Genomic DNA, 27,636 nt, shown 5'->3' with positions numbered 1-27,636 from the left:
TCAAAAAAACTCAATTGTCATAAATCCCCTCCCAAGAGCAACTCAGTAATCTCTTCTCAGAGTCTAGAACTCAGCACCACACCCAAACAGATATTGTCATCAAACTCTCAAATCTCTCATCCATTCTCCTAGGAGCCCATTTCTCCTTCCAAAAGTCATTTGCTTTTCCATTAGTGCCCTCTCTCCCCAACCCTTCCTCCAGTAAGTTAGGTACATAGACCTCAAATTCTTTTTTTTTTTGAGACAGAGTCTTGCTGTGTCTCCCAGGCTGGAGTGCAATGGCGCAATCTTGACTCACTGCAACCTCCACCTCCCAGATTCAAGTGATTCTCCTGCCTCAGCCTCCTGAGTAGCTGGGACTACAGGCGCCCATCACCATGCCTGGCTAATTTTTGTATTTTTAGTAGAGACGGGGTTTCACCATGTTGGCCAGGCTGGTCTTGAACTCCTGACCTCAAACAATCCACCCACCTCGGCCTCCCAAAGTGCTGGGATTACAGGTGTGAGCCACGGTGCCTGGCCAGTAGACCCCAAATTCTAACCACCCCTGTGAGTTGCTCCTCACTGGGTGCTCTCATATGTAAGGAAGATGCACAGGTTTACAAACTCCTGTTGGTTTTTCTCTCATGAATCTGTCTTTTATCAGCTTAGTTTATAGGGCACTAGTCAATAACCTAGGAGGGTAGAGGTAAAAAGGTTTTCTTCCCATACACCTGTGTCCTTACTGAGACCTCTCTGTGGCTTGGGAAGTCTTTGAGAACACCAGACAGCAGGCAGCACAGCCCCTGGCTCCCAGTAACCTGCCAAAAAGATTTGGTGAGTCCAGGCATGGTGGCTCATGCCTGTAATCCCAGCACTTTGGGAGGCTGAGGCAGGTGGATCACCTGAGGTCAGGAGTTCAAGACCAGCCTTGCCAACGTAGTGAAACCCCGTCTCTACTAAAAATATAAAAATTAGCTGGGTGTGGTGGTGGGCGCCTGTAGTCCCAGCTACTCGGGAGGCTGAGGCAGGAGAATTGCTTGAACCAGGGAGGCGGAGGTTGCAGTGAGCTCAGACCATGACACTGCACTCCAGCCTAAGTAACAGAGTGAGACTCTGTCTCAAAACAAAAACAAAAACAAAAACAAAAAACTCAAAAACAAAAAACAACCCAAAAAGATTTGGTGAGTAAATAACAGAATATCTTACTCTGAGTGACAGCATTTAAATGCAAGTGGTCCTAACCAATCTGTGTATTAGTCACTCAGGGCTTCAGCTGAGATCTGTAGAGTGGGTGATGGGGTTTTGGAGGAGAGGAAAGGGCATTTTGGAGGGAGGGGTTGAGTCTCTGTGTGCAGGTCTTGCATTGTTGATTTAAGATGGGGTGTGGGGCCCAGTTGTATGCCTATTCAATGTATTAGTAATTCGTCAGCCACACCTAACTTTGTGGTTCTAGGTGTGTCTCTTCTAACCCACTCACTGGGCCAACCAGGGGCCAATCAGCCTTTTTCTTATCTGGTATTGGCACCAGGGAATTATAAGTCTTTAAAGCCAAGTGCTAAGTTTCCAGGGTTGGGGCCACTTGGCTACCTCCGGGAGGCTGTGATTTGAATCTTATATCTGATCTGCTATGGGTTCCTCCCCTGGCCATTCCCAGAAGGTAAACTTTCATCCTCTTCTGCTGACTTTTCCTTATGGTTTTGTCCTGCTCAACTGCCTGCCAGTGTCAACTCCTAATGCCTGCTTTCAGATATTTTGAAGAATGGGACTTCAACAGGGCTTTCTCCTATCCTGATCCAATTGATACGCAATCAGTTGATGTATTATTAAAGGATTTTACAGCTGCAAAGGGTTGGAGATCATCTTAAAGGGAGATTTCTGGGGTTAAAAGTTGACCTGGTACTGGCTGGGCGCGGTGGCTCATGCCTGTAATCCCAGCACTTTGGGAGGCCGAGGCAGGTGGATCACGAGGTCAGGAGATCAAGACTATCCTGGCTAACACGGTGAAACCCCGTCTCTACTAAAAATACAAAAAATTAGCCGGGCGAGGTGGTGAGTGCCTGTAGTCCCAGCTACTCGGGAGGCTGAGGCAGGAGAATAGCGTGAACCCGGGAGGCGGAGCTTGCGGTAAGCCGAGATCCCATGATGGCTCTCCAGCCTGGGCAACAGAGCGAGACTCCGTCTCAAAAGAAAAAACAAAAGACAAAAGTTGATCTGGTACTTATTTCAAAGAATACACGTCATTATTTCTAAATGGCCCTTGCATTTTACAAGAAAATGAATCTGTGCAGTGGTTATTGTGGAAGAGGATGTACCTTTCTTTTCCAAGTGCTTGGGGTGGATTACCTGTCCTGGGAAGACAGCTTAGGGTCTTCTGTTTGATAGCATCCAGCTTGGAGGGAAACTAGGGACCCCTTAACATGGGAGTCGGAGGTGACTGCAAGAGGTCACACCAGGAAATTAAATAATATACTAAATAGCACAGCAAGAAGGCAGTATCTTTCAATTCCCTTTTATGCCCACTGATTAGATCAGAGAGCCTCAGCTTAGTCCTAAAATGTCTTGAACACTTCTCTGACACCAATTCTTCTTCTCCTTTTCTATCGGCTTTCTCTTCTTCTTCCTCATCATCGTTCTTCTGGTAAGTAAAGAGGGAGCAATTCCCAGGCTCTCAGCTTTCAGGAGCTTGCTGGAATCTAGAACATTTTCTCCATTATGTTTATTTTTCTGGCTGCCTTGTGTTTATGGCAAGTGACATTGGTTTTTCCCTTCCCCATTAGTGTTCAAAATTTGTACTTAACATCAGAATATTTAAATATAAAATGTGAATTGATTTAAAGATGAAAGTGGCAGGTAGAATTGGATGTGGCACACATTTTGAAGGTGGTATGTGGATGACCATTTTTCCTGATTTTTCCCAATTCTAGTATCCTCTTGCCCATTAACCCATCCTTTTTTGAGAAGATTTCATGTCAGTTTCTTCTCTTTTGTTCTTATCTTCTTCACCACCACCTTCTGCTGCTGGGAGATTTCCAGTTTTTGTTGTTGTTGTTGTTGTTTTTTAGATAGGGTCTCCCTCTGCCACCCAGGCTGGAGTGCAGTGGTGGGATCATAGCTCACTGCGCCTTGACCTCCTGGGCTCAAGGGATCCTTCTACCTCAGCCTCCCAAGTAGCTGGGACCACAGGTGTGCCCCACAATGCCTGGCTAATTTCTTATTTTTTGTAGAGATGTGGTTCTCTCTATGTTGCCCAAGCTGGTCTTGAACTCCTGGCCTCAAGCAATCCTCCTGCCTCAGCCTCCCAAAGCTCTAAGATTACAGACCTGCGCCACCTCTCCTTTGCAGGCCACGCCCACTCTTTCTCTAGTTTGCCAGAGTGTTCAGGTGAGCAACAGGGACAGGAATATCAGCAGAGGCAGGCATGTCTCTTGCTTGTCTGATACTTTTTTTTTTTCCCCTGAGACAGAGCTTCGCTCTTGTTGCCCAGGCTGGAGTACAATGGCATGATCTCGGCTCACTGCAACCTCCGCCTCCTGGGTTCAAGCGATTCTCCTGCCTCAGCCTCCCGAGTAGCTGGGATTACAAGCGCCCACCACCATGCCCAGGTAATTTTTTGAATTTTTAGTAGAGATGGGATTTCACCATGTTGGCCAGGCTGGCCTTGAACTCCTGACCTCAGGTGATCCACCCGCTTCCGCCTCCCAAAGTGCTGGGATTACAGGTGTGAGCCACCGCGCCTGGCCGTCTGAATACTTTTAACATTTGTTTTTGCACTTCCAATTGGGGTGTGGAGTTCCTGTGCTTAACCTCTGGGCTTACTGTCTTAACTCCTCTCCTGGGTTGCCAGGCCTTACGGTGTTGTGTCCTGTTTAGCCCATCTCTGCATCTTGCACGGAGCCGAGGCCATTGTGAGTGCACAGGAGGTCCCTAATATTGGTTGTAAACTGATCACTATGGCATTTTAGCAATTGTCAGATTCATCTGGTCAATGTTGGCAGCCTCTGGCAATTAAAAGACAGGTGGAGGTTACACAGCCCATCCTCCACAGCCACAGCCTCATGGTCAGGTTGAAAGCCAAGTCTTTTTTTTTTTTTTTTTTGTAACGGAGTCTTGCTCTGTTGCCCAGGCTAGAGTGCAGTGGTGCGATCTCGGCTCACTGCAAGCTCCGCCTCCTGGGTTCATGCCATTCTCCTGCCTCAGCCTCCCGAGTAGCTGGGACTACAGGCGCCCACCACCACTCACGGCTATTTGTTTTTAGTAGACATGGGGTTTCACCGTGTTAGTCAGGATGGTCCCGATCTCCTGACCTCGTGATCCACCTGCCTTGGCCTCCCAAAGTGCTGGGATTACGGGCGTGAGCCACCGCACCCAGCCGAAAGCCAAGTCTTAGACCAAACATTGATGTACAGGTTCCTGTAGGTTGGTGATGTGGCACTCTTTGTCCTTTGGCACAGGGACAAGTACATTGCATCATAGGTTCATTCTGAAGTGACATTGTTGCCCTGTCTTGGAATCAGGTGACAATGTTCCCTGTGAATAGGGTGGCATAGGCCTCAGCAGGGTTGAAGGCCCACTATGTTGTTTTTAAAATTTTGAGATTAAGACTTACAGGATTCATATGCCTTATTCATATGGGGTGGTAGTACCTGAGCAATTTTTCTCTCAACCATATGTTGCACTGTAACCACTTCACAAAGGAAGAACAAAGTGTCATCTTTAATGCTAATAATGAAGCCTATGGTGTGGACTTTCTTTTTTTTTTTTTTTTTTTTTTTTTTTGAGATGGAGTCTTGCTCTGTCACCCGGGAGTGCAGTGGCGAGATCTTGGCTCACTGCAACCTCCGCCTCCTGGGTTCAAGAGATTCTCATGCCTCAGCCTCCTGTGTAGCTGGGATTACAGGCAGGTGCTACCAAGCCCGGCTAATTTTTATATTTTTAGTAGAGATGGGGTTTCATCATGCTGGCCAGGCTGGTCTCAAACTCCTGACCTCAAGTGATCTGCCTGCCTCTTAAAGTGCTGAGATTACAGGTGTGAGCCACTGTGCCCGGCCTCTTCATTGGGTTTTTTTTTAATGCACTCTTGTAGCACCTTTGGGGTATCTGTGATTGGTAAAGATCAAATGCTAACTATCTCTAGGGCACAGATTATAATTCACACACACACACACACACACACACACAAATATCACATTGTTAATAATGAAGTATTTTAGAGCAAATCACTACCCAGGCAATGTAAGATTTATGGAACTGAAGAATGTTGTTGGGCAGAGGCAGATGCCTATGTTTTATTTTTATTTTATTTATTTATTTTCGAGACCAATTCTTGCTCTATCGCCCAGGCTGGAGTGCAGTGGCGTGATCTTGGCTCACTGCAGCCTCCGCCTCCGGGTTCAAGTGATTCTCCTGTCTCAGCCTCCCGACTAGCTGGATTACAGGCGCCCACCACCATGCCTGGATAATTTTTGTATTTTTAGTAGAGACGGGGTTTCACCATGTTGGTCAGGCTGGTCTGGAACTCCTGACCTCAGGTGATCCACTAACCTCAGCCTCCCAAAGTGCTGGGATTATAGGCATGAGCCACCACGCCCGGCCAGATGGCTACGTTTTAGTTGCAGCTCTGCCTCCCTTAAAGGGGCTCTGTTTCTTCACAAGAATTGCTAAGATGACTTCTGCCAGCCCAACCAATGACAGATAGGTTCTCCCCATCGATTTCTTGGGAAATTTCCTTATCTGTGAAATGGGAATAGTAAGCGTACTTAAATATCAGGTTTTCTTCTTACCTTGAGGAGCTCATGAGATGTGTGTTAAATTGCCTGGTGAACGGTAAAAAGCCATTCTAATGTAGGTTATTTTCACTGTTATCACCAGGAAGACCAAATAGAAGCCAAAGATCAGGGGAACTGCTTCTTACCTGGGATAGAGAACTAAATCACTGGTATCTGCTAAAATCAGGAGTGAACTGAAGTCCTGTCTACCCTTCAATGGTGTTGAGTTAGGTCTGAGAAAGTAACCAGAAATCGAACATTTTCTGGTTCAGATGAAAATCTCTGTTCTGCTCTGAACTTTTATGTGTACTTCCAAGGCTTAATAGGCAGTATTATGAAGCATAGAGAAGAGATTCTTTATTAACACTAGCGTTGAAGATATGGATGACTGGTTTGTTTGTCAAGAGTAAGGTCATAACTCTGTAATCTGCTTTAGTCTGAGAGTTGGACCGATCCCATTTGGCTTACCCAATACCAGTGTGCTACTCTTTTTCTGCCTTCATATATTTCTGCCCACATTGCTTGACTTAAGAAAATATGCATTTGCCTGCTACACATGACTAGTGACTCTCCTATTGAATTAGATTCTCATAAGAAAGCAAAGAGGGAGTGAATGGGGGAGAGATGGAACACACTATATTTCTTTGAGACCAGTGCTTATTTTCTTGGCTGGCAAGTGCTTTTTTCTCACCTTTTGACATAATCCTAATGGTCCTATTAAAATACATTTAGCCTTCTCTCTCTTCTCCATCTGCCAGCACTCTGTGTCATTTGGTGGACGGCAGGCAGGTTTTAAGTTCCGAAAAGCAGAGAACAGACTAAGTATTGGAACAGGATCATATGTCTCCTGTTTTATTTTCAGAAACACACCCCTTCGCCCCCTTGTTTTATTGCTAAGTGTTGAGTTGCAGCTGGATCAGGAGAGGGTGGGACAGCAGGGAGACGTCTTTGCCTCTGAGGATTGTGTGATGCCAAGGAGGGTTTTCCAAGGAGTTCAAGGAGTCTCTTTCATTAGGAATCTTTTGAAGCAAAATATTCTGATGCTGTTATTTTTGGAAATTCCAATTTGGGCTTGTTTAGATGATTCCCAACATTCCTTCCATTGCTTTGAGTGGGTGATTTTTGTGGCTGTGTTTTGGGTTCAAGTTCACAAATAATGTGAGTGTGCCTCAGCCTTATACAGACTTTCTGCCAACAGAAAGAGCTGGAAAGAGCTAAGGCAGTTGCATATTAAGGGCAAATATAGCTCGTGTTCAGCGAACATGAACTGTGTTTGCTCATGCTCTTTGGATGAGCTCTTTGCCTAGTGGGGAGCAGTGGCAGCAGCTGGGGTGGGTAAGTGATACTGTGCTGCAGAGCCTCTGAAACTCCCTGTTCCATCACGGGCAGTGACATTCAATCCCTTCCAGGAAGCAACGTGAGCCCACCACAGCTGGCCAGAGGGAGCTTTCTCTTCTGGTTGGGAGGGGCGGGCTTTGGTCTTTAGAGCCTGACTATCACTGCCTGTGGAGAGCTTTGCATGCTGTCGGGTGGCAAGAACCGGTTGAGTGTCCTTCCTTCCCTTGCAGGGAGCTTCAGGAATGGAGCCCAGTTCTTAACTCAGGGATTTGGGCAGGGGTTTGGGATACTGAGAAAATGCCCATCACGTCAGGCTCCTGAGCAGAACTGGAGGAAGAACCTTTTGAGAATTGGCTGGTCTGGGGTGTGTGGGGGGAGGTTTCTAGACCAGAGGTGGGCCTGGGGGGCGGGAAGCTGGTGTGCTGACCTGCCTCAGGACAGAGGCTAACACACTGCCCTCCCTGATGTGTTCTGGAGCTCTGTTTTCAAAGTAGCGGTACTCAATGTACAGCTAAGGCTCTGTGTCCCCAGTAGCGCTGGACACCAGGATTTCTCAACCTCAGCGGTGCTATTGACATTTGGGATACAGAATTCATGGTGGTGGCGGTGGGGGCTGTCCTGTGCGTTGTAGGATGTTTAGCAGCATTCCTGGCCTCTATCCCCTGTATGCTGGTAGCACTTCCATTCCACTGCTACAACCAAAAATATCTCCAGACATTGCCAAACATCCCCTGGTGGGGCAAAATTGCCCGCAATTGAAAAACACTGCATTTTACAGAAAACAAAACACACTGCTCTCTTCCCCCACCCCCAACTCTGAATTTATATGTACTATTTAGGAAGAGAGCAGGTGGGAAGTCAGATAATATGTTTTTAATATTTGAATACCAGGCTCTTTTATTAGATTGAGGCTTACGAAACTGTCATTCTTTTTGGACGTCAACATGGTTGAATAAGGGCAATTTTGTATGGCTCAACTTAATACCAGCCCATGAAATCAGATTTGTACAAACCTCAGTCACAAGGGGCCTCAGGACAAGGTCATGACCTATGCTGTTTATTAAACACCTCGAGAAGCATCCTCTGCAAGGAATTGCATTAAGACGGGTGGGTGGGGTGAAGAGAGGGAGAGCTGGAGTGAGCCTGAGAACAGAGCCAAAAGCATTGAAGAATATGGAAGAGGAGAGGGGGGGACAGGGATAGTTTTACATGTCCCTGGCTGTGGGAAAGGAAGGTCGCAATCCTACTGGGGTCATAAAGCAGAAGGAGCCATTCAGGTATAGAGGGGAAGAGGGGAAAGGAGACCAAGAGATACAAAGGGACTAAGGCTGGGGGAGATGAACTTCAGAGTCTTAGAGCAAAAATGAACAGGAACTTACCTTCTTCCCTTTGTGATTTAAGAGGCAGAGGTTAAGTACAGGTATGAATCTGGAGGCAATTGGAGACTTGTCCTGGAGCTTTGGGAACAACCTGAGCGTGGTGTATTTTTGGAAAGAAGAGAGGAGCTGGGTATGGGCCCTGGGCATCTTTCCTTGCTGGCCTGGCCTCTCAGGAGCCTGCCCCTCTGGCTGGGTAGATGTAAGCCCCCCTCGAGCAGGTCTGGGGATACCTCCTCTCAGCCATGGCACTGACCTCTTTGTGTGTTGAATCGTTTGTGTTCCTATTTTTTTGTACATTGCCATCATGGCTATACTAAGACAAGTTCCTCAAAAAAGTTGTGTTCTTGGTTTTTTTCTTCCTTTCCTATTCTTTAATCCTTGCCTCTCTGGCATGTCTCAATATGCCCTTTCAAAAATTGGTGCACTAACACCTGTTTTTCCATTTCGTTACAAAGTTGTCTGCAACTTGATCAGCTAGGGGTCTTGTTTGGGGCAAGAAGGGTGATCGGGCAGTGGGAGCCAGGGAGGCTGGCTCTGGTGAGGCACAGGCCTTGGCAACTGTATAAGGAATGTGATGGCTCAGATAAATAGGGCCAGTCCCAAGATGGGAATCTCGTGAATTCACAGGCTACAGCAAATCTCAGAGATGCTCAGTTCTGCAGCTCCATTTCACAGGTGAAGGAATCCAGGCCCAGAACGACCTCCTGACTTGCTCACATCACACAGTTAGTACCAACGCTGAGCACGTAAATCTTTGGGCCTAAGCCCATGCTCTTTTCCCTGAATTACCCCAGTATGCTGTGGTGTGGCTAAGGGTCGAGAAGTTCCAGGGCCCCTCAGTCAGGAGTTTTAGCTCTCATATAAAGGAAAGGGCAGATGACTGCTGCTGTTACTTTTCTTTTGTAATTTGGTGCGTGCATTCAGTGGGCATGGGATGCAGGCTGGTCCAGTGCCTGCCAGGGGGAGTGACTCAGGAGTAGGCTGCCTGCTCCGGCCAGGAGCTCATTAGCAGGGCTGCACTCATTTGCAAACCAGGCAACACAGACCCGATAGCTTCCTGCAGTCCCCGGCTCAGACTCAATAAATATCTGCAGCATTTAGGTGGAAGGGAGGAAGCAAAATAAAGAAGAAACATACTCAGAGGGCGGTTCCTCCTGACTCATTTACGGTGTGAGTGGTTCCCTAGAACACACTTTGGATTTGGGTCAGTTTGCTTGGACTTTGTCAGAAAGCCGAAACTCAAGGAGAAGGGGCGTTCATGCACATCCTTATGCTCAGCAGCAGATTTACCAAGAAGCTAATGAAACACGCTTTGGGACCCTTCACTTGTATGGACCCCTTTCAAGTTCTCACAACTAATCTGTACTTATAATTTTGTAAACGCTTCGCATTTTAAAAACTGTAGATGCTTCCGGTCTTGCAAAATGTGGACTTGCTTCAGAAACCACAGCACGTGATAGGCCAGTATCTTACATGATTTCACTAAACCGACTGAGAAAAGGCACCAGGGTCACGAGTGCCCTAAGGAGCAGATGAATGGGAGAAGTAGAATATGTGCACCAGAAGCTGCATTTCTGCACAGGACCCTCCCATCCTAGCCCTGTTTAAACAAATGTCAGATCTGTCAAAGGAGGCAGTGAGAGTCCATTTGAATTTGGCTTCCTTTTTTTTTCACCTCTTCTTTCAACAGTGACATGGAGCAGAGGGTATAGTTGAGTAGGGCATCCAGCAGCAGGGATTAGGAAGAGGATTTAGGCTCTGCCGAGGCCTCTGAGGATGACCAAAGGAATCCTTGAAGGTTCCTAAAGCTGGAAACCAGCAAAGGCTGGGATGTTGTCACATAAGCCCCAGGGTGGAGACTTTACCTTACCGTGTCCTGTGTTCAAGGTGCACGGGGTCGCAGGTTTCAATTGTCTTCGAGGGCAACGAGGGGCCACGCTAGGGTTGCTTGAGAGCAGTTTTGCTTCCATTCATCCTCCCTTCCCCCTTCTCCCTCATTTGTACATGTGTAATTAGAGTGACCAGCCTGCTGGCCTGTTTACAAGGGGAGGAAGTCCCTCCTCCCACCGCTTTTGTGGTAGCTTTAAGTGGACTCTATTCTTCTGTGCTTCCTGCCTTGAAAGTGCTGACCAGGGTCACTCACAGGGCTGTTAAACAGCTGCTGCGCCTCACCCTGGCAGCAAACAAGGCCATTCCAGGCCCATCCATCAGCGTGGCTCGACAAGTGCTTTGGGATCTGCCTGGGTGAAAGATGGGAAGTGAGCGTGGGCGTGGCCCTGACGCGCGTCAACCTCCAGATCAAATTTGTCCCAGGCCCTGGTGTCCCCGACGCAGGGAGGAACAGAGACTGTGGGGAGAAACTTGGGCATCCCCATGTTGTCATCTGGGCAGTAGCCATGGCTACTTCTTTCTCATTCATTCTTTAAATATTAATTGATTGCCTGCTTAAGACTGCACAAAAGCCTGAATTGTCAACTGCTTTATTTCAATAGCTGACATTTGATTTAGTGGATGTAAAAAAGATTGCTTGGTTTTTTTTTTTTTTTTGAGACGGAGTCTCACTCTGTCACCCACCCTGGAGTACAGTGGTGCGATCTTGGCTGACTGCAACCTCTGTCTCCAGGGTTGAAACGATTCTCATGCCTCAGCCTCTCGAGAGCTGGGATTACAGGCACATGCCACCACACCTGGCTAATTTTTGTATTGTTAGTAGAGACACGGTTTCACCGTGTTGGCCAGGCTGGTCTCGAACTCCTAAGCTCAAGTGATCTGCCCGCCTTGGCCTTCCAAAGTGCTGGGGTTACAGGTGTGAACCACTGTGCCTGGCCAGAACTTTTAAATTTTTATTGATTTTTTATCTTTTCTTACCCTGCCAGGGTGCCTAACATCCAGCTCAAGGCTTTAGTTTTTTCAGTAGATGATTCCAAACTGCTGTCCCCCAAATATCACAAGTGATTCCTAGTTTTCTAACTGGAGAATCTCAGATTTCACTTGGTTACTCTGTTCTTGAGAAAATAACATTGAAAACCCAAACCTCATCTCCGAGGACTTTTAGCAGTCGCCTCATGTGTGGGCATTGGGAAACCATGTGCATTTGGGCAGACTCCTCCAGCCCTTCCAGCTCTGGTGTCTGCTGTGCTTCTGGTCTCTGCTTTTAGAAAGAGAGGTGGGAGCCAGCAAGTGGAGATTGTTAGTGGGTGAGACAATATTCCCCTCCCTTAAGCCCCTCCTCAAGCCTCTGTCTGCTGTGACAATGTATTTTGGGATTTCTGAGCCCTGGCCCTAGGATAACCCGAGATTGAATCCTCAAAGAGGGACAAGGGGACAGAGGGTGACATTGATGATTGATGGGACATAAGGTGGAAGATGGCAAAAAAAAATGTCTTTTTTTTTTTTTTTTTTGAGATGGAGTCTTGCTCTGTCGCCCAGGCTGGAGTGCAGTGGCGTAATCTCGTGTCATGGCAACCTCCGCCTCCCAGGTTCCAGCAATTCTCCTGCCTCAGCCTCCTGAGTAGCTGAGGTTACTGGCATGCACCACCACGCCCAGTCAATTTTTGTATTTTTAAGTAGAGATGGGGTTTCACCATCTTGGCCAGGCTGATCTCGAACTCCTGACATCAGGTGATCCACCTGCCTCAGCCTCCCAAAGTGCTAGGATTATAGGCGTGAGCCACCGCACCCAGCCAGAATAATGTCTTCTACCAAGTTTTTCTTTTTCTTTTTTCCAAGACGGAGTCTTGCTCTGTTGCCCAGGCTGGAGTGCAGTGGCGCAATCTCGGTTCACTGCAAGCTCCGCCTCCCGGGTTAACGCCATTCTCCTGACTCAGCCTCCTGAGTAGCTGGGACTACAGGCGCCCGCCACCGCACCCGGCTATTTTTATTTTTTTGTATTTTTAGTAGAGACGGGGTTTCACCATGGTCTCGATCTCCTGACCTTGTGATCCGCCTGCCTCAGCCTCCCAGAGTGCCGGGATTACAGGCGTGAGCCACTGCGCCCGGCTGTCTTCTTCTAAGTTTTTCAAATATCTGAAAAGACTGTTGTGAAATCATACATATTTATGATAAAAGAATTACATAATTGACAGTGGCCTTTTGTGGCCATGTGCTTTCTCCACCCAAGGAAATTAAAATACAATTATTATCATGTGATTGTTGAGGATATTATTTGACTTAAAAGGGATCTTGATATTTGAAACGTTCACTGATCTTTAGAAACTAAAATATGAATGTGTCTGGGCATGGTGACTCACACCTGTCACTCCAGGACTTTGGGAGGCTGAGGTGGGAGGATTGCTTGAGTCTGGGAGATCAAAACCAGTCTGGCCAACATAGTGAGACCCCAGTATCTAATTAAAAAAAAGAACGTTCATTCTGGAAGATAAAATAGAAGCCATGGAAGCTGGCTGTGCTGTAAAAATGGCCTAAATCTGTTTTTCACCTTCAGATCATTGGCCTTTCTGCAGTGCACACAAGCTCTGAGGTTTGTACAAACCTAATATGATCAGCACAACTGCTTCTAGAAGGTCTCTCAGAGCCAGTTAGTGAGGCAGGACTCTGAAGGAGGGAAGACAGGAAAGGAAAGTTAATCTTCCAGCAGCTCTTGGGGTGTAGAAAGCCCCTCAGATCCCTCAGCTCACCTCAGCTGTTTGTCTCCTGGCCCAGCTGCCCTGGTTTAGCGGTCGTTTAAATATTTTCTTTGCTTTCCCTTTGGCTTGATGAATTGTGGATGTCTAAACATGGGCCCTTTCCCACCTGGGCCTGCCCCGCCTCTTTCCTGGGGATATAATGGGCTTGTTTGAAGGGCCTGACCTGGCATCGGTGCTGGCCAGCAGGAGCTGGGGGAGAAACACCTCTGTGTGTACAGCGCTTGGGCTAAGTAGCCCTTTCATTGGAGTAGTCAACACCTTTTGTTGCTGCCAGACCCTTCGGGACTGATCCAGTATTCGCTGTCCTTTGAGGTGGGTTGGAGAGAGGTAAATGTGCCCAGAGCAGCTTCCAGAAAGAACTCGCTGAACACTGCCTCCTTTGGTTCCATCCTTCAGGAGATCTGCTAAGGAAAACAGAAGCTTGTTAGTCTCAATTTTGGTGATAAGTAGAATACATAACCAGAGAAAGTAAAAACGCTTTAGGAAGTTCCCACTTAACACGTTTGCTTCTATGATTCTTCACATTTTTACATCCTCCGCTTGATTTCCTATTTCCTTTCTATGAAATTTTCATGAGTTGGTTCCTTTCGAAAAATCTTTTTTTTTTTTTTTTGAGATGGAATTTCTCTCTTGTTGCCCAGGCTGGAGTGCAATGGCACGATCTTGACTCACTGCAACCTCTCTGCCTCCTCGGTTCAAGCGATTCTCGTGCCTCAGCCTCCCCAGTAGCTGGGATTACAGGCATGCACCACCACGCCTGGCTAATTTTGTATTTTTAGTAGAGACAGGGTTTCACCATGTTGGTCAGGCTGGTCTCAAACTCCTGACCTTAGGTGATCTGCCCGCCTCAGCCTCCCAAAGTTCTGGGATTGCAGTCAAGAGCCACTGCGCCTGGCTGAAAAAAGAAATCTTAAATCATACATAATTATATTTACTCAGACTCTACTTAACGTATGAACTCACTGAACTGACAAGGGGACCACTCTGCTAGGAAATCTCAAGTTCAACCAAATGTTCCCAAATGGAGTATGGGGGAAGCAGAGGCCCACTGGGTCTGACGTGTGGCTTTTGAATCGTGAAGATACTTCTGCAAGCTTGCTGGTGGATGGTTGGATTGACAACGGCATGTCTAGTTACTGTTGCAAGGGATTAACCTGAAGTATGGTGATCTAAACTGCAATGCAAGGAAGGATTCTCAGCTCATCTTTTCTGTCCTCAAACTGTCTTCCTTTGCCAAAACTGTCAACATTCTGCCTACAGATAGACTGTCAAACGGAATATGACAAACTCCAAAGCACTTTTTTTTCCACAGCGCCTATCTTAATTTCATGCTTCTCCCCTTACATTACCTACTTTAAGGGATTTTTGGTGGTGAGAAGGGAGGAGTACCAGGAAGAATTTTGCATAAATAAATGCTTTTGCTCAAAGTCCTGAACTTTTGAACTTTTGTTCAAATTCTAAGATTTTAAAGTTTTTTTTCCTATTATATCTACCCTGTTACTAAATTTGCAATGAAAGCAATGAATCCTTTTTATTGGCCCTAGCGCTCCGTCTTGTGCAGAGGCAATGAAAAGATATGCACGGTCTCATCCTTAAGAAACTTGACCGTCTGGTAGTCAGGGCAGGATTTATGAATGAGTCAGCTGAAGAGCAGTGTTTGAGGAATCTAATTTAGTCTCTAGCCTAGTGGTCTGAATGCAAAGAGGGTTCAGGTGATGTTAGCCCAATAAAGAAAGCACTAAATTACAGTGTTCAGACAATAGTGTGTCCAGAGTCGGTGGGTTCCTGGTCTCACCGACTTCGAGAATGAAGCCGCGGACCCTCACGGTCAGTGTTACAGTTCTTAAAGGTGGGGTGTCTGGAGTTTGTTCCTTCTGATGTTCAGACGTGTTTGGAGTTTATTCCTTCTGGTGAGTTCGTGGTCTCGCTAGCTTCAGGAGTAGAAGATGCAGATTTTTGTGGTATTACAGCTCTCAAGGCGGCGCGTCTGGAGTTGTTTCTTTCTCCCGTCCGGAATTGTTCGTTTCTCCCAGTGGGTTCGTGATGTCGCTGGCCTGAGGAACGAAGCTGCAGACCTTCATGGTGAGTGTTACAACTCATACACAGTGCGGACCCAAAGAGCGAACAACAGCAACATTTATTGCACACAGCGAAAAAACAAAGCTTCCACACTGTTAAAGAGAACCAGAGCCACTTGCTACTTCTGGCTGGGGCTGCCTGCTTTTATTCCCTTATCTGGCCCCACTCACATCCTGCTGATTGGTCTGTTTTACAGAGAGCTGATTGGTCCATTTTGACAGGGTGCTGATTGATGCATTTACAATCCCTGAGCTAGACACAAAAATTCTCCAAGTCTCCACTAGATTAGCTGGACACAGAGCACTGATTGGTGCATTTACAAACCTTGAGCTAGACACAGAGTGCAGATTGGTGTATTTACAATCCCTTAGCTAGACATAAAGGTTCTCCACAGTCCCCTCTAGACTCAGAAGCCCAGCTGGCTTCACCTAGTGGGTCCCGCACCAGGGCCCCTGGCAGAATTGCCCGCCAGCACCACTCCATGTGCCCACAGTCCTCAGCCCTTGGGTGGTTGATGGGACCTCGGCGGTGCCTGTCGGGGAGGCTTGGACTGTGCAGGAGCCCACAGCAGGAGGAGGCTTGGGCACTGCGGGCTGCAGGTCCCGAGCCCTGCCCCGTGGGGAGGCAGCTGAGGCCCGGCTAGAATTCCAGTGCGGCACCGGCGGGCCGGCACTGCTGGGGGACCTGGTGCACCCTCCGCAGCTGCAGGCCCGGGTGCTAAGCCCCTCACTGCCTGGGGCCGGCGGCACTGGCCGGCTGCTCCGAGTGCGGGGCCTGCCGAGCCCATCCAGAACTCGTGCTGGCCTGTGAGTGCTGCATGCAACCCCGGTTCTCGCTCGCGCCTCTTCCTCCATATCTCCCCGCAAGCAGAGGGAGCCGGCTCCGCCCTCGGCCAGCTCAGAGAGGGCCTCCCACAGTGCAGCGGCGGGCTAAAGGGCTCCTCAGACGCCGCCAGAGTGGGCGCCGAGGCAGAGGAGATGCCGAGAGCGAGCGTGCTGTGAGGGCTGCCAGCAGGCTGTTACCTCTCAATAGCATGGTAGGACCTCAGAGAACTGGGAGAGGAGGTAGGTTCTAATAGTTGTAGTCTGTGTGCAGAAGGTGGGGATATGAGCTAGGTCTTGAAGGAAGAGTAGAAAGGTTGAATGGGTTGAGAGGGTGTCATTGGTAATTGGAAAAGTCAGAGGAATGACCCAGGGAACAGCATCTTGGTTGGATCAGAGGGTATGCCCTGAATAAGGACCAGTAAGAGATAACATGAGATGAATTGTAGAAGGGGTTGCAAATCAGAGTTGAGACTTGGATTAAGCCAAGTTGATAAAACTATAAAGAGAGCTATTGTAGGTTTGGAGGGTTTGCTTATAGTAAATTTCTTTCTCTCTCTCTTTTTTTTCTTTTTTGTTTGAGACAGGATCGCCTAGGCTGGAGTGCAGTGGCACCATCTTGGCTCACTACAACCTCTGCCTCCTGGGTTCAAGCGATCCTTCCACCTCAGCCTCCTGAGTGGCTGGGACTACAGGCATGTGCCACCACACCTGGCTATTTTTTTTTTTTTTTTTTCTGAGATGGAGTTTTGCTGCTGTCACCCAGGCTGGAGTGCAATGGCACAATCTCAGCTCACTACAACCTCCGCCTCCTGGGTTCAATTGATTCTCCTGCCTCAGCCTCCCGAGTAGCTGGGATTACAGGTGCCCGCCACCATGCCCAGCTAATTTTTGTATTTTTAGTAGAGACAGGTTTTCCCTATGTTGGCCAGGCTGGTCTCGAACTCCTGACCTCAGGTGATCTGCCTGCCTTGGCCTCCGAAAGTGCTGGGATTACAGGCACGAGCCACCGTGCCTGGCCTTGGCTAATTTTTTGTGACTTTTGTGGAGACAGGGTTTTGCCATGTTGCCCAGGCTGGTCATTTGACATTCCCACTAGTAAGGCACTAGGGTTCTAATTTCTCCCCATCTTCACCAATATTTATTTTCTGTTTTTTGTTTTTTCTCTTTTATAGTAGACATCTTAATTGGTATGGGATGATATTTAATTGTTGTTTTGATTTGCATTTCCTTAATGACTAGTGATGTTGAGCATCTTTCAGAAGCTCAGAAACATAAAAAGATGACCACATTTGTATATCTTCTTTGGGAAAATGTTCAAGTCCTTTGCCCATTTTTAATAGATTTTTTGGGGGCTGTTGAGTTTTAGGCATTCTCTCTATATTTTAGATATTTATTAAACCCTTATCAGATATGTGATTTGCAAATATTTTCTCCCATTCTGTGGGTGACCATTTTACTCTGTTAATAGTGGTTTTTGATGGAAAGAGATTCTTAATTTTGATGAAGTTCAATTAGTATGTTTTTTCTTTTGTTGCCTTTGCCATTGGTGTCATATTCAAGAAATCATTGCCAAATCCAATCTCTGAAGGTTTTTTGTTTTCCTCTGAGAGTTTTATAGCTTTAGGTCTTACATGTAGGCCTTTGACCCACATTGATTTAATTTTTTTGTATATGGTATGTGTATATTCAGCTTTCCCAGTGCCCACTGTTGTCCTTTCCCTATTGGATAGTCTTGGCAAAATATCACTTAACCGTATATGCAAAGGTTTATTTCTGAATTCTCTATTCTATTCTACTGGTCTGTCTCTTTGCCAGTAGCCTGCTGTTTTTTATTATTATGGTATTGTAATACGTTTTGAAATCAGGATGTGTGAGACCTCCAACTTAGTTCTTTTTCAAGATTGTTTTGGCTATTTGTGGTCCCTTGAGATTCCATATAAATTTTAGGATGAAATGTTCTGTGTTTGCAAAAAATGCCATTGGGATTTTGATTGGGATTGCATTAAATCTACAGATCACTTTGGGTAGTATTGACATCTTAAGAGTATTAAATCTTACAATCATTAACAAGGGTTTTTTTTTAATTTATTTTTGTCTTTAGTTTCTTTCAGCAACATTTTGTAGTTTTCAGTATGTAAACCTTTTGTCTCTTTGGTTAGGTATTCAACTCTTTTTGATGCTATTGTAAATAGAATTGTTTTCTTAATCAAGGCAGATGGTTTTGCCATCCACGATGGTTCTTACCTCTCTATTCCATGTTCCCTTTCTGAAAGGCCGGCTGATACTAATTAGGATGAGGGTGGAGGCCACCCAGAGGGTCACCTTCGCCCTGGGAAGTGAATACAATTCTGAACCTGCAGAACGAAGGAATAAGGGCTGGTTTAGAGTCCATCTGAGGTTGTTCAAGGTCTTTGAGACACACAGACATATTATTTAATATGCTTTATCGAGAGCACAAAGACAAATAACTTTCTTCCAAATCCTACTTCAAGCAAAGGGAAGAGAAATATAGCAGCTGTCGGGAGGCTATTCAACTTTTAAAGTTTGACTCCAGCAAAAATTGTAAGAGGCAAACAGTATATCCTTAGCTGTGTCATCTCCTCACCCCAATTCAGCTTTGATCTTTCTCTTCTTTTATACTGTTTCCCTGTTATCCTGTCATCACCCTACCTCACTCCTTTTTCCAAAGTTCCCTTTCCTCTGCTTCCTTAACAAATGTACCTATCCCATTGTCATTTCCTCAGGTTTTTTGCTGGGCAACAGTAAACTCTTCCTGAAAAATTAACTCTTGCAAAGCAAGAACAGGTGAAGTCTTTGCAATTTAACAAGGTGACAGTGTCTTCATCTGAGCAAGGTGAATGAGTTAGTCTAATTCTGGTGACTTCAGGAACCCACAGACTGGGAGGGAAAATGATTTGGGATTTTGCCTAGACCTAGTCTGATCTGTTAGTGGGCGGAAGCGGGAGGGGACAGAGAAGCCAGGGACAGATGACTGGGAAGCATGATGTTATGCTGCTCTTTGAGGCAAAGGAGCTTCACTACTAGAGGTGCCTCAGAGTCAAACTCAGTCTTGCCTTAAGTGGCTTGTCACAAGGTCTCAAGGAGCCTAGAGCTGTAATTGAAATTGATATTGTCTCTCAGTGACCCATTTCTAACCTTAGAGCTTCCTACAGACTTGGTCTTGGGAAGGGTTTACCCCTAGACTGTGTGGTTGCAGGAACCTGTGGGCATTCCAGAGGGAGTCTGTTAACTCAGCTTCAGAAATGAGGAAGATTATAAGTCAATGCAGGCTGAAAACCAGAGGACCCCAAACTGCATGGACTGGCTGATCACTAGCATGTGGGCTAACGTAAAGTGGAAAGCCTGCAGGCAATGGTGGCAGGCCATGCCTGCGGACCTCTGTTACATACCACCTGCCTGACCACTGTGTGTGGGGAGGTAACAGCCCCCATGTCCAGACCCCGTAGCAGCTCTCTTCCGCTCTGGTGAGCACCGAAGGCCAGGGCTGCACCGTCCTGGGCTGCGCAGTGGGAGGTGGGGCTTGGCAGTGAGCTGGACCGGGGATTCTGCTTTGTGTCCGGCTGCCCCGCAGAGATGTCTGCACCATGAATTTGATACAAAGTCCACAAACATTTCACTGCAAAAGGCACATTTTATCTCCCTTTGCAGAACCTCCAAGAGAGCCAAGCTTGGTGGCTTGCCAGACAGGCTCTACTCCTTATGTCTGATCTAGGGTACATGCTGGTGTTTGCCATCTTCCTATCGAACCCACATCCAGAGCTTTGGATGTGAGATGAAGGGGATGGTAGCTGGGGGAGGCTAGAGGAGAAAGACAATGCAAACAATACCTCAGGCAATGGGCTAAGCACACAAACCGATTTAGGTGGACCAGAGGAGAAAAGAAAAAAGCCCCAACAAACCAAAAACAAAGCAATACTTCTTTCCTACTTCCTTCCTTCCCATGCGTCTCATTTGTGTTGGTGGAAACTACAGATTGATTACTGTTTTGGGGCCTCTGATTAAAAACTCACATGTGTAAGAGACTCAGCTTCGAGATTAGGAGCTTCTTTGTTGAACCGAGGCAATCTCATGTTATTAAACCTTCCCTCTCAACTTGCCACCTGCTCCTCTCCTTCCCTAGCCCTAAGACCCTGAACCCATCTCCCCTTTTATCTTTGTTGCCTGTTAATTCCTGTTTCCTCAGGTGGAGGGCTTGTTCTGGAAATTAAGGTTTTGGGGACAGGGTTCCTCACCTTCCTCTCTTTGGGTATAGGAGGGCAGTCCTAAGATTTCCATAATCACAGCTTTTCCTGTGCCTCCTGCACTTAACGACTGCTACCGTACATCTGACTTCTTAAATTCATGGCCTGGAACTGCAAGGATATTTGCTAGTGTGTATGTTTTGTCTGCAACTAGATTGTCAGATTGGGTGAAATGGGCTCTGTATTAGTCTGTTCTTGCACTGCTATAAAGAAATACCTGAAACTGGGTAATTTATAAAGAAAAGAGGTTTAATTGGCTCATGGTTCCAGAGGTTGTACAGGCAGCATGGCTGGGGAGACCTCAGGAAACTTTCAATCATGGCAGAAGGGGAAGGGGAAGCAGGCACGTCTTCTACGGCCAGAGCAGGAGGAAGAGAGACAAGGGGGAGATGCTACACCCTTAAACAACCGGACCTTGTGAGAACTCTCACTCTCACAAGAACAGCAAAGGGGAAATCCACTCCCATGATCCAGTCACCTCCCACCAGGCCCCTCCTCCAACACTGGGGATTACAATTCGACATGAGATTTGGGTGGAGACACAGAGCCAAACCATATCAGACTCCAAGGCCAATTTTAAGTGGCTCCAGGATTCTCAAATTCTAAGTGTTTTAAGTGCTCAGACAGAGGCATAGCAGGCCTTCAATACGTTTTCACGATTTTCACTTTCTAGGAGCCTTCAGAGTGACTGTCTAAGGAGTTTTCTGGTCAAGCGCCGGGGTAGGCATTGGCATTCTTCTCCAGATGAAAGTCAAGAGGCAGACAACACAGTGACCAATGCCTCATCCAAACTCCTGAGGCAGAGGAGAGTCCAACTGCCACTTCCTAACAATGTGAAGCCATGATACGAGGCCTAATAAACTTTCCCTGCAGTTTCAAGAGGATGTGGTCTCTTTCACTTCCTGTCCCAAACTGTTCTGCACTGTTGCGCCATGCAACAGCTGCTTCGGATCAAGCCACGGCCAAATTCTTGCTGGGGAAGAGCAGTGACATTTGGGGAACCACAGGGACAACAGGGAGCCACTTCTGTGGGTGCTGGAGACTCCACTCATAGGACGTCTGGACACTGATGTCTAAAGCCTAAAGGAGGACATTAAAATGTTAGATCGGGGAGGGGACAGATCCACCATTGTAATTTCAAAGGTGAAACTCGGATGTCCTGGAAGGAGGGTAGACAGACCTGCTTGTGACCTGCTAATCCACTATCACAAACTGTGCATGCTTTCTTATCATTTTACTTCTTTCATAAATAGAGGACAGGAACAAAAAGCCAAAAGGTTACATGAAGGAGCAGGTGAGAAATCTCTAGCTAGTTCCCATGGTACTGTGGAGCTAGTACCGCATCATACTGTTCATCATACTTTGCTTGTGTTGTGGAGAAAACTCAAGCATAGACAAGGTGTCACTGGCCTCGCTGTAAAATAACAGGCTGTTAATGAAGCAGCCGAGGGATATGGAGATGGTGTCTTCATCCCTGTGCTCACCTTTTCCCGAATGTACCTTTTTCCCTTTAATTTCCCTAAATGAGATGTGCCATAGAATGTACCTAATTTGTGTCAGGTCTATACAATGAGAAAATCATAATACATCCATGAATCAGGGTTCAGTTAATTTATTTCCTAAACATCTACATTTTGAACTAATTTCAGATCTACAGAACAGATGGAGTCTCGCTCTGTCATCCAGGATGGAGTGCAGCAGCATGATCTCTGTTCACTGCAACCTCCGCCTCCCAGGTTCAAGTGATTCTCCTGTCTCAGCCTCCTGAGTAGCTGGGATTACAGGCACCTTCCCTCACACCTGGCTAATTTTTGTATTTTTAGTAGAGCCAGGGTTTCATCGTGTTGGCCAGGCTGGTCTCGAACTCCTGACCTCAGGTGATCCACCCACCTCGGCCTTCCAAAGTGCTGGGATTACAGGTGTGAGCCACTATGCCTGGTCAGGGTCATGTTTTATATCAAAGATTTAAAGCACTTCTCAGTGTTTTATATAGAAGACTTATAATGTCAGTTTGTCTCATTATAGAGGATAGATTTTGATCACTTTATTCGTCTACCAGGTTTCTATATTGTAAAATTATTATTTTTCCCTTTGCAATTAATAAGTACAATGTGGGGAGATAATTCCAGACTATACAAGTATTCTGTTTCTCAACAAACTATTATCCATTATTTTTAGCATCCATTTATATTTTGTTGTTGTTGTTATTGTTGCCCAGACTGGAATTCAGTGGTGTGAACGTGGCTCACTGTAGCTCACTGTAGCCTTGAACTCAAGTTACAAGAGGATCCTCTCACCTCGGCCTCTTGAGTAACAGACTACAGGTGTGCACGATGCCTAACTAATTTTTAAATTTTTTTTTTTTTTGTAGAGATGGGGTCTCACTTTGTTGTCCAGGCTGGTCTTAAGTTCGTGGGCTCAAGTGATCCTCCTACCTTGGCCTCCCAAACCTTTGGGATTACAGGTGTGAGCCACCATGCTGGGCCCTGGCTTGATGATTCTTGAATGAGTTAATCATTATCACAGTAATAATCAAATGCTTGTTTTTCTAATTTTATTATTCACATTTATCAGCTGGCATTTCCTGTTAGCATGAACTTTCTCCTTTCCCTTATTTATTTCTTTCTTTATTTATATCAGCATGGACTCAGAGAATCTTTTTTCACTCAGTGGCTTATTATTCATTACTATTGTTATTTATTTTGATGTTTAAATTGTCCTAGATTTGGCTGATGGGAGTCCCTTCCAACTGGCTTTTGTGTGCTTTTATAAATCAGGTGTATTTTGGTATAATTTACATACAGAAAAATCCATCCCTTTCAAGAGAATAGTTGGATAAATGTTGACAAACATACAGCTGTGTGAGCACCACCACTGTCAAGGTATGGAACATTTTATCACTCCAGAAAGTTCTTTTTTTTTTTTTTTTTTGAGACAGTCTCACTCTGTTGCCCAGGCAGGAGTGCGGTGATGTGATTTTGGCTCACTGCAACCTCTACCTCCCAGGTTCAAGCAGCTCTCCTGCCCCAGCCTCCTAAGTACCTGGGATTACAGGCATGTGCCACCACAGCTAGGTAATTTTTGTATTTTTAGTAGAGAGGGGGTTTCACCATGTTGGTCAGGCTGGTCTCAAACTCCTGACCTCAAGTGATTCACCCACCTCGGTCTCCCAAAGTGCTGGGATTACAGGCGTGAGCCACCGCACCCAGCCCCAGAAAGTTATTTTATACTGAGCTCATAGTCAGTCTCCTACTCCCAGTTCCTGGCTATCACTGCTTTGATTTTTGTCTCCATAGTTTTGCCTTTTTAGAATGTACTTTGTATTTGCTTGTTCTGCTTAGCGTAATTATTTTGAGATTCACCCATGTTGTTACATGTATCAATAGTTCATTCATTTTTATTACATGTAGTATGCCATGGTATGGATATTCCACAGTTTGTTTATTCATTCTTCTGTTGATGAACATTGGGGTTGTTCCCAGTTTTTATTAAAAATAAAGCTGTGGATGGGCATGGTGGCTCATGCCTATAATCCCAGCACTTTGGGAAGCTGAGGTGGGAGGATCACTTGAGCCCAGGAGTATGGAGACCAGCCTGGGCAACATAGTGAAATCCCATCTCTACAGAAAAAAAAAAAAAAAACCCCACAAAACAAAACAACAAAAAACTGCTATGAATGTTTGTGTACAAGCAATTGTATAGACATACACTTTCATTTCTTACAGGTAAATATTTCATAGTGGATGGCAGGGTTGTATAGTAGATTTATGTTTAACTTTTTAAGAAATTACCTGTTTTCCAAAGTGGTTGTACTGGCTGAGCATGGTGGCTCACTCCTGTAATCCCAGCACTGTGGGAGGCTGAGGCGGGCAGATCACTTGAGGTCAGGAGTATGAGACCAGCCTGCCCAACATGGTGAAACCCCTTCTCTACTAAAAATACAAAAATTAGCTGGGCATGGTGGCACATACCTGTAATCCCAGCTACTTGGGAGGCTGAGGCAGGAGAATCTCTTGAACCCTGGAGGCAGAGGTTACAGTGAGCGGAGATCATACCACTGCACTCCTGCCTGGGCGACAGAGCAAGACTCTGTCTCAAAAAACAAAAAAACAAAAAAGTGGTTGTACTATTGTGTATTCCCATCACCAATATATGGGAGTCCTAGTTGCTCTGCATCCTTCTCAGTGCTTGGCATGATCAGTTTTTTTACTTTTGGCCATTCTAGTAAGCACGTAGTTTTAATGCACATTTTCTTCCTTTTTTTTTTTTTTTTTTTTTGAGACAGAGTCTCACTCTGTCGCCCAGGCTGGAGTGGAATGGCATGATCTTGGCTCGCTGCAACCTCCGCCTCCTGGGTTCAAGCAATTCTCCTGCCTCAACCTCCTAAGTAGCTGGGATGACAGGCATGTGCCACCACACCCAGCTATTTTTTTTTATTTTTTATTTTTAGTAGAGATGGGGTTTTGCCATATTGGCCAGCCTGGTCTCAAACTCCTGATCTCAGGTGATCCACCTGCCTTGGCTTCCCAAAGTGCTGGGATTACAGGCATGAGCCACTGTGCCCGGTCTTAATGCATGTTTTCTTGATAACTCATGATGTTGAGCTTCTTTTCATGTCCTTATTTGTCATTCATGTATCTTCTCTGATGAAGCTTGGCTTCACATTTTTTGCTCATTTGAAAAATTGCACTGTCTTCTTTTTATTGAATTGTAAGAGCTGTATTTTGGATTGAAGTTCTTTATATTTAATTGTAAAGAAAAATAATGTATTCATTCATTTAAGTGAAGATTTAGGCCAGGGCTAGATAATATTTTAGGCTCTGTGGGCCGTATCATCTCTCTTCTAACTACTCAACTTTGCCTAGTCATAGATAATCTCTAAATGAATAAGCATGTCTGTGTTCCAATAAAACTTTATTTATAAGAACAGGCAGAAGGACAGATTTGACCTGTTGGCCAGGGCTTGCCAACCCTTAGCTTTGGCTTCAGTTTCTAGCACTGGACAGGGTTGACTGAATCTGGGTTCCTGCTGTGAATTGCAAGATTGAAATACAGAGTTCATTAGAACGATCTGGGGGCTAAGTCCAGTCCATTTTACTTAAAAGTCAGAATTGCAGGACATATAGAATTTCTATATCAAGCTACATGTTTCCTAAGTTATTTTTCAGACCTGGGAGCCAGTGATCCTGAGGATGCACTGTCATATGAGATAGTCCAGCAGAAGAACGTGTCCCTCCTGGTTAGGGGTCCTCATATCTGGCGTGCATCATAGTCACTGGCAGCTTTTCAGTAGATGTTCCTGGGCTCTATCTGCTGCATCAGAATCTCAGGGGTGGGCTGGGTTATGTGTATTTCTATTTTTAAAGCATCTTCCAGGTGTTTCAGATGAAGTCAGATGAGGGACTTGCACTAAGTGATGAATAGAGATTCTCAGGAGACTTATCTTAATGAAGAGATAAGAATAATCTCTAATTACTGCATTGATTTTATGTAAATAGATGCTTCTAAAGTGTTCACAATATTTTAAAGTTAATAAGTAGTTAAAATACTCTTTCCTAAGCCTGCTCTCCAAACTTGATTGCCACTACTGGGATTCTTATCAAACTATTTTTTTCATGCACAGTGCAAAAACAAACTTCAGAACAGCCTCTGCTGGATTTTCAAAAAACCTGAATTATTGGACTCTAAATTAAAGAGTAAAAAGTATTGTGGAAATTCAAGCCCATTACCATTTATTCATAAAGACAAGTGACTCAATCAAAACAGTATCTTTGATGGATTAAGTGTGTTTAAACAAATAGTTAACCATAATACTAGGGGATTAGTATTTTTGAAGAGCTCTATTTTTGGTAGAGCTTTAACTGATATTCTTTGATAATCCCTGTTTTTCCCTGGCAGTTGATGCCTCTATTTGCTTTGGAAATAGCCTTTTAGTATGTTGCATTTTAACAATATTCTTATAGTACAGAATGTGCAATTCTGTTTGTAATGCAAAAATCTATCAGGTAAGCTTGGGAAATGACAAAATAGTTGCTTGCAAATTGCTTTAGACCTAAAGTGGACAATCTGAAGTTATCAATCAAATTGTGATTTGTTGATGTAGGACTCTCAACTATTTTTACATTTAAAAAACCCCCTGTCTATTATTGTCTTAGTCTATTTGCTGCTATAACAAAATACCTGAGATTGGGCAATTTATAACAACAGCATTGTATGTCTCATAGTTCTGGAGGCTGGGAAGTCCAAGATCAAGGCCTGGGCAGTTTCAGTGTCCAGTGAGGGCCCAATTTCTGCTTCTAAGATAGCAGCTTGTTGCTGCAACCTCTGGAGGCGATGAATGCTGTGTCCTCACCTGGTGGAAGGAATGGAAGGGCAAAAAGGGCCTAGCTAGTTCCCTCCAGCTGTTTTATAAGGTTGCTAATCTCACTGGTGAATGTTGTACCCTCATGGCTTAATCACGTCCTAAATCAGCCTACCTCTAAGTACTATCACATTGGTGATTAGTTTCAACACACAAATTTTTGGGGACATTCAAACCATAACAATCGTTAAGAAAAATTATGTAAAACTTTTGGTGTCACCCTGGGGTCTTGTCTAACAAGCTCACCCACAGATTATTTGATTCTCAAGAGAATGTACTTTTCATTGAATTCTGTTTACTATTGATTAGGGCTCAGATGCTGTGAAGTTACATGTTAACTTAGAGACTTTTGTTTATTAGAGACATAAATGATTTTTTATTGGTAGAAAAGATAACCTCAATGCTTATAGTTTTATTGTCCTGTAGGTCATTAACCAGCTTGATCTCTAACTCAGTAAACTTATTTTGGTATAACTTTCTTTTCTTCTCTTTCCCTCCTTCCCTCTTTCCCTCCTTCCTTCTTTCTCTCTCTCTCTCCCTCTCTCTTTCTTTTTTTTTTGAGATGGAGTTTCACTCTTGTTGCGAGGCTGGAGTGCAATGGCACGATCTCGGCTCACTGCAACCTCCACCTCCCGGGCTCAAGCAATTCTCCTGCCTCAGCCTCCTGAGTAGCTGGGATTACAGGCATGCGCCACCATGCCCGACTAATTTTGTATTTTTAGTAGAGATGGGTTTTCACCATTTCACCATGTTAGCCAGGCTGGTCTCGAACTCCAGACCTCAGGTGATCCACCCACCTTGGCCTTCCAAAGTACTGGGATTACAGGTGTGAGCCACCACACCTGGCCTATACCTTTTACCTTTGCTGATTTAAATCTGCGTCCTTTCTCTGGAGTGAATGGTAACTTTTACTCCATCTTTTTTGAGTTCTCTGAGTCCCTGCAGCAAATCATTGAATCTGAGGGTAGTTGTGGGGACCCCAACACAGACATGGATATAT

At 45.5% G+C, this 27,636-nt stretch overlaps 1 long non-coding RNA gene across 1 annotated transcript in view, besides 3 other annotated features; it reads left to right on the top strand.

Annotated features, from left to right (window-relative positions):
- The window catches only part of LOC105374945 (uncharacterized), a 148,669-nt gene that overhangs the window by 77,058 nt on the left and 43,975 nt on the right, over positions 1-27,636 (top strand). The gene's annotated exons all lie outside the window — the stretch shown is intronic.
- Positions 1,203-1,403: a silencer, noted in NCBI's record as "peak5675 fragment used in MPRA reporter construct". NCBI's record gives its function as "represses an SCP1 promoter by STARR-seq MPRAs in K562 erythroleukemia cells {active_cell/tissue: K562}" and the evidence as "EXISTENCE:reporter gene assay evidence [ECO:0000049][PMID:32103011]".
- Positions 20,595-20,654: an enhancer, noted in NCBI's record as "active region_24062". NCBI's record gives its function as "activates an Ori minimal core promoter by ATAC-STARR-seq in GM12878 lymphoblastoid cells {active_cell/tissue: GM12878}" and the evidence as "EXISTENCE:reporter gene assay evidence [ECO:0000049][PMID:35858748]".
- Positions 21,345-21,404: an enhancer, noted in NCBI's record as "active region_24061". NCBI's record gives its function as "activates an Ori minimal core promoter by ATAC-STARR-seq in GM12878 lymphoblastoid cells {active_cell/tissue: GM12878}" and the evidence as "EXISTENCE:reporter gene assay evidence [ECO:0000049][PMID:35858748]".

Source organism: Homo sapiens, chromosome 6 (assembly GCF_000001405.40).
Source record: "Homo sapiens chromosome 6, GRCh38.p14 Primary Assembly".
Taxonomy (NCBI): domain Eukaryota; kingdom Metazoa; phylum Chordata; class Mammalia; order Primates; family Hominidae; genus Homo; species Homo sapiens.
This window is presented reverse-complemented; position numbering and strand designations above follow the sequence as displayed.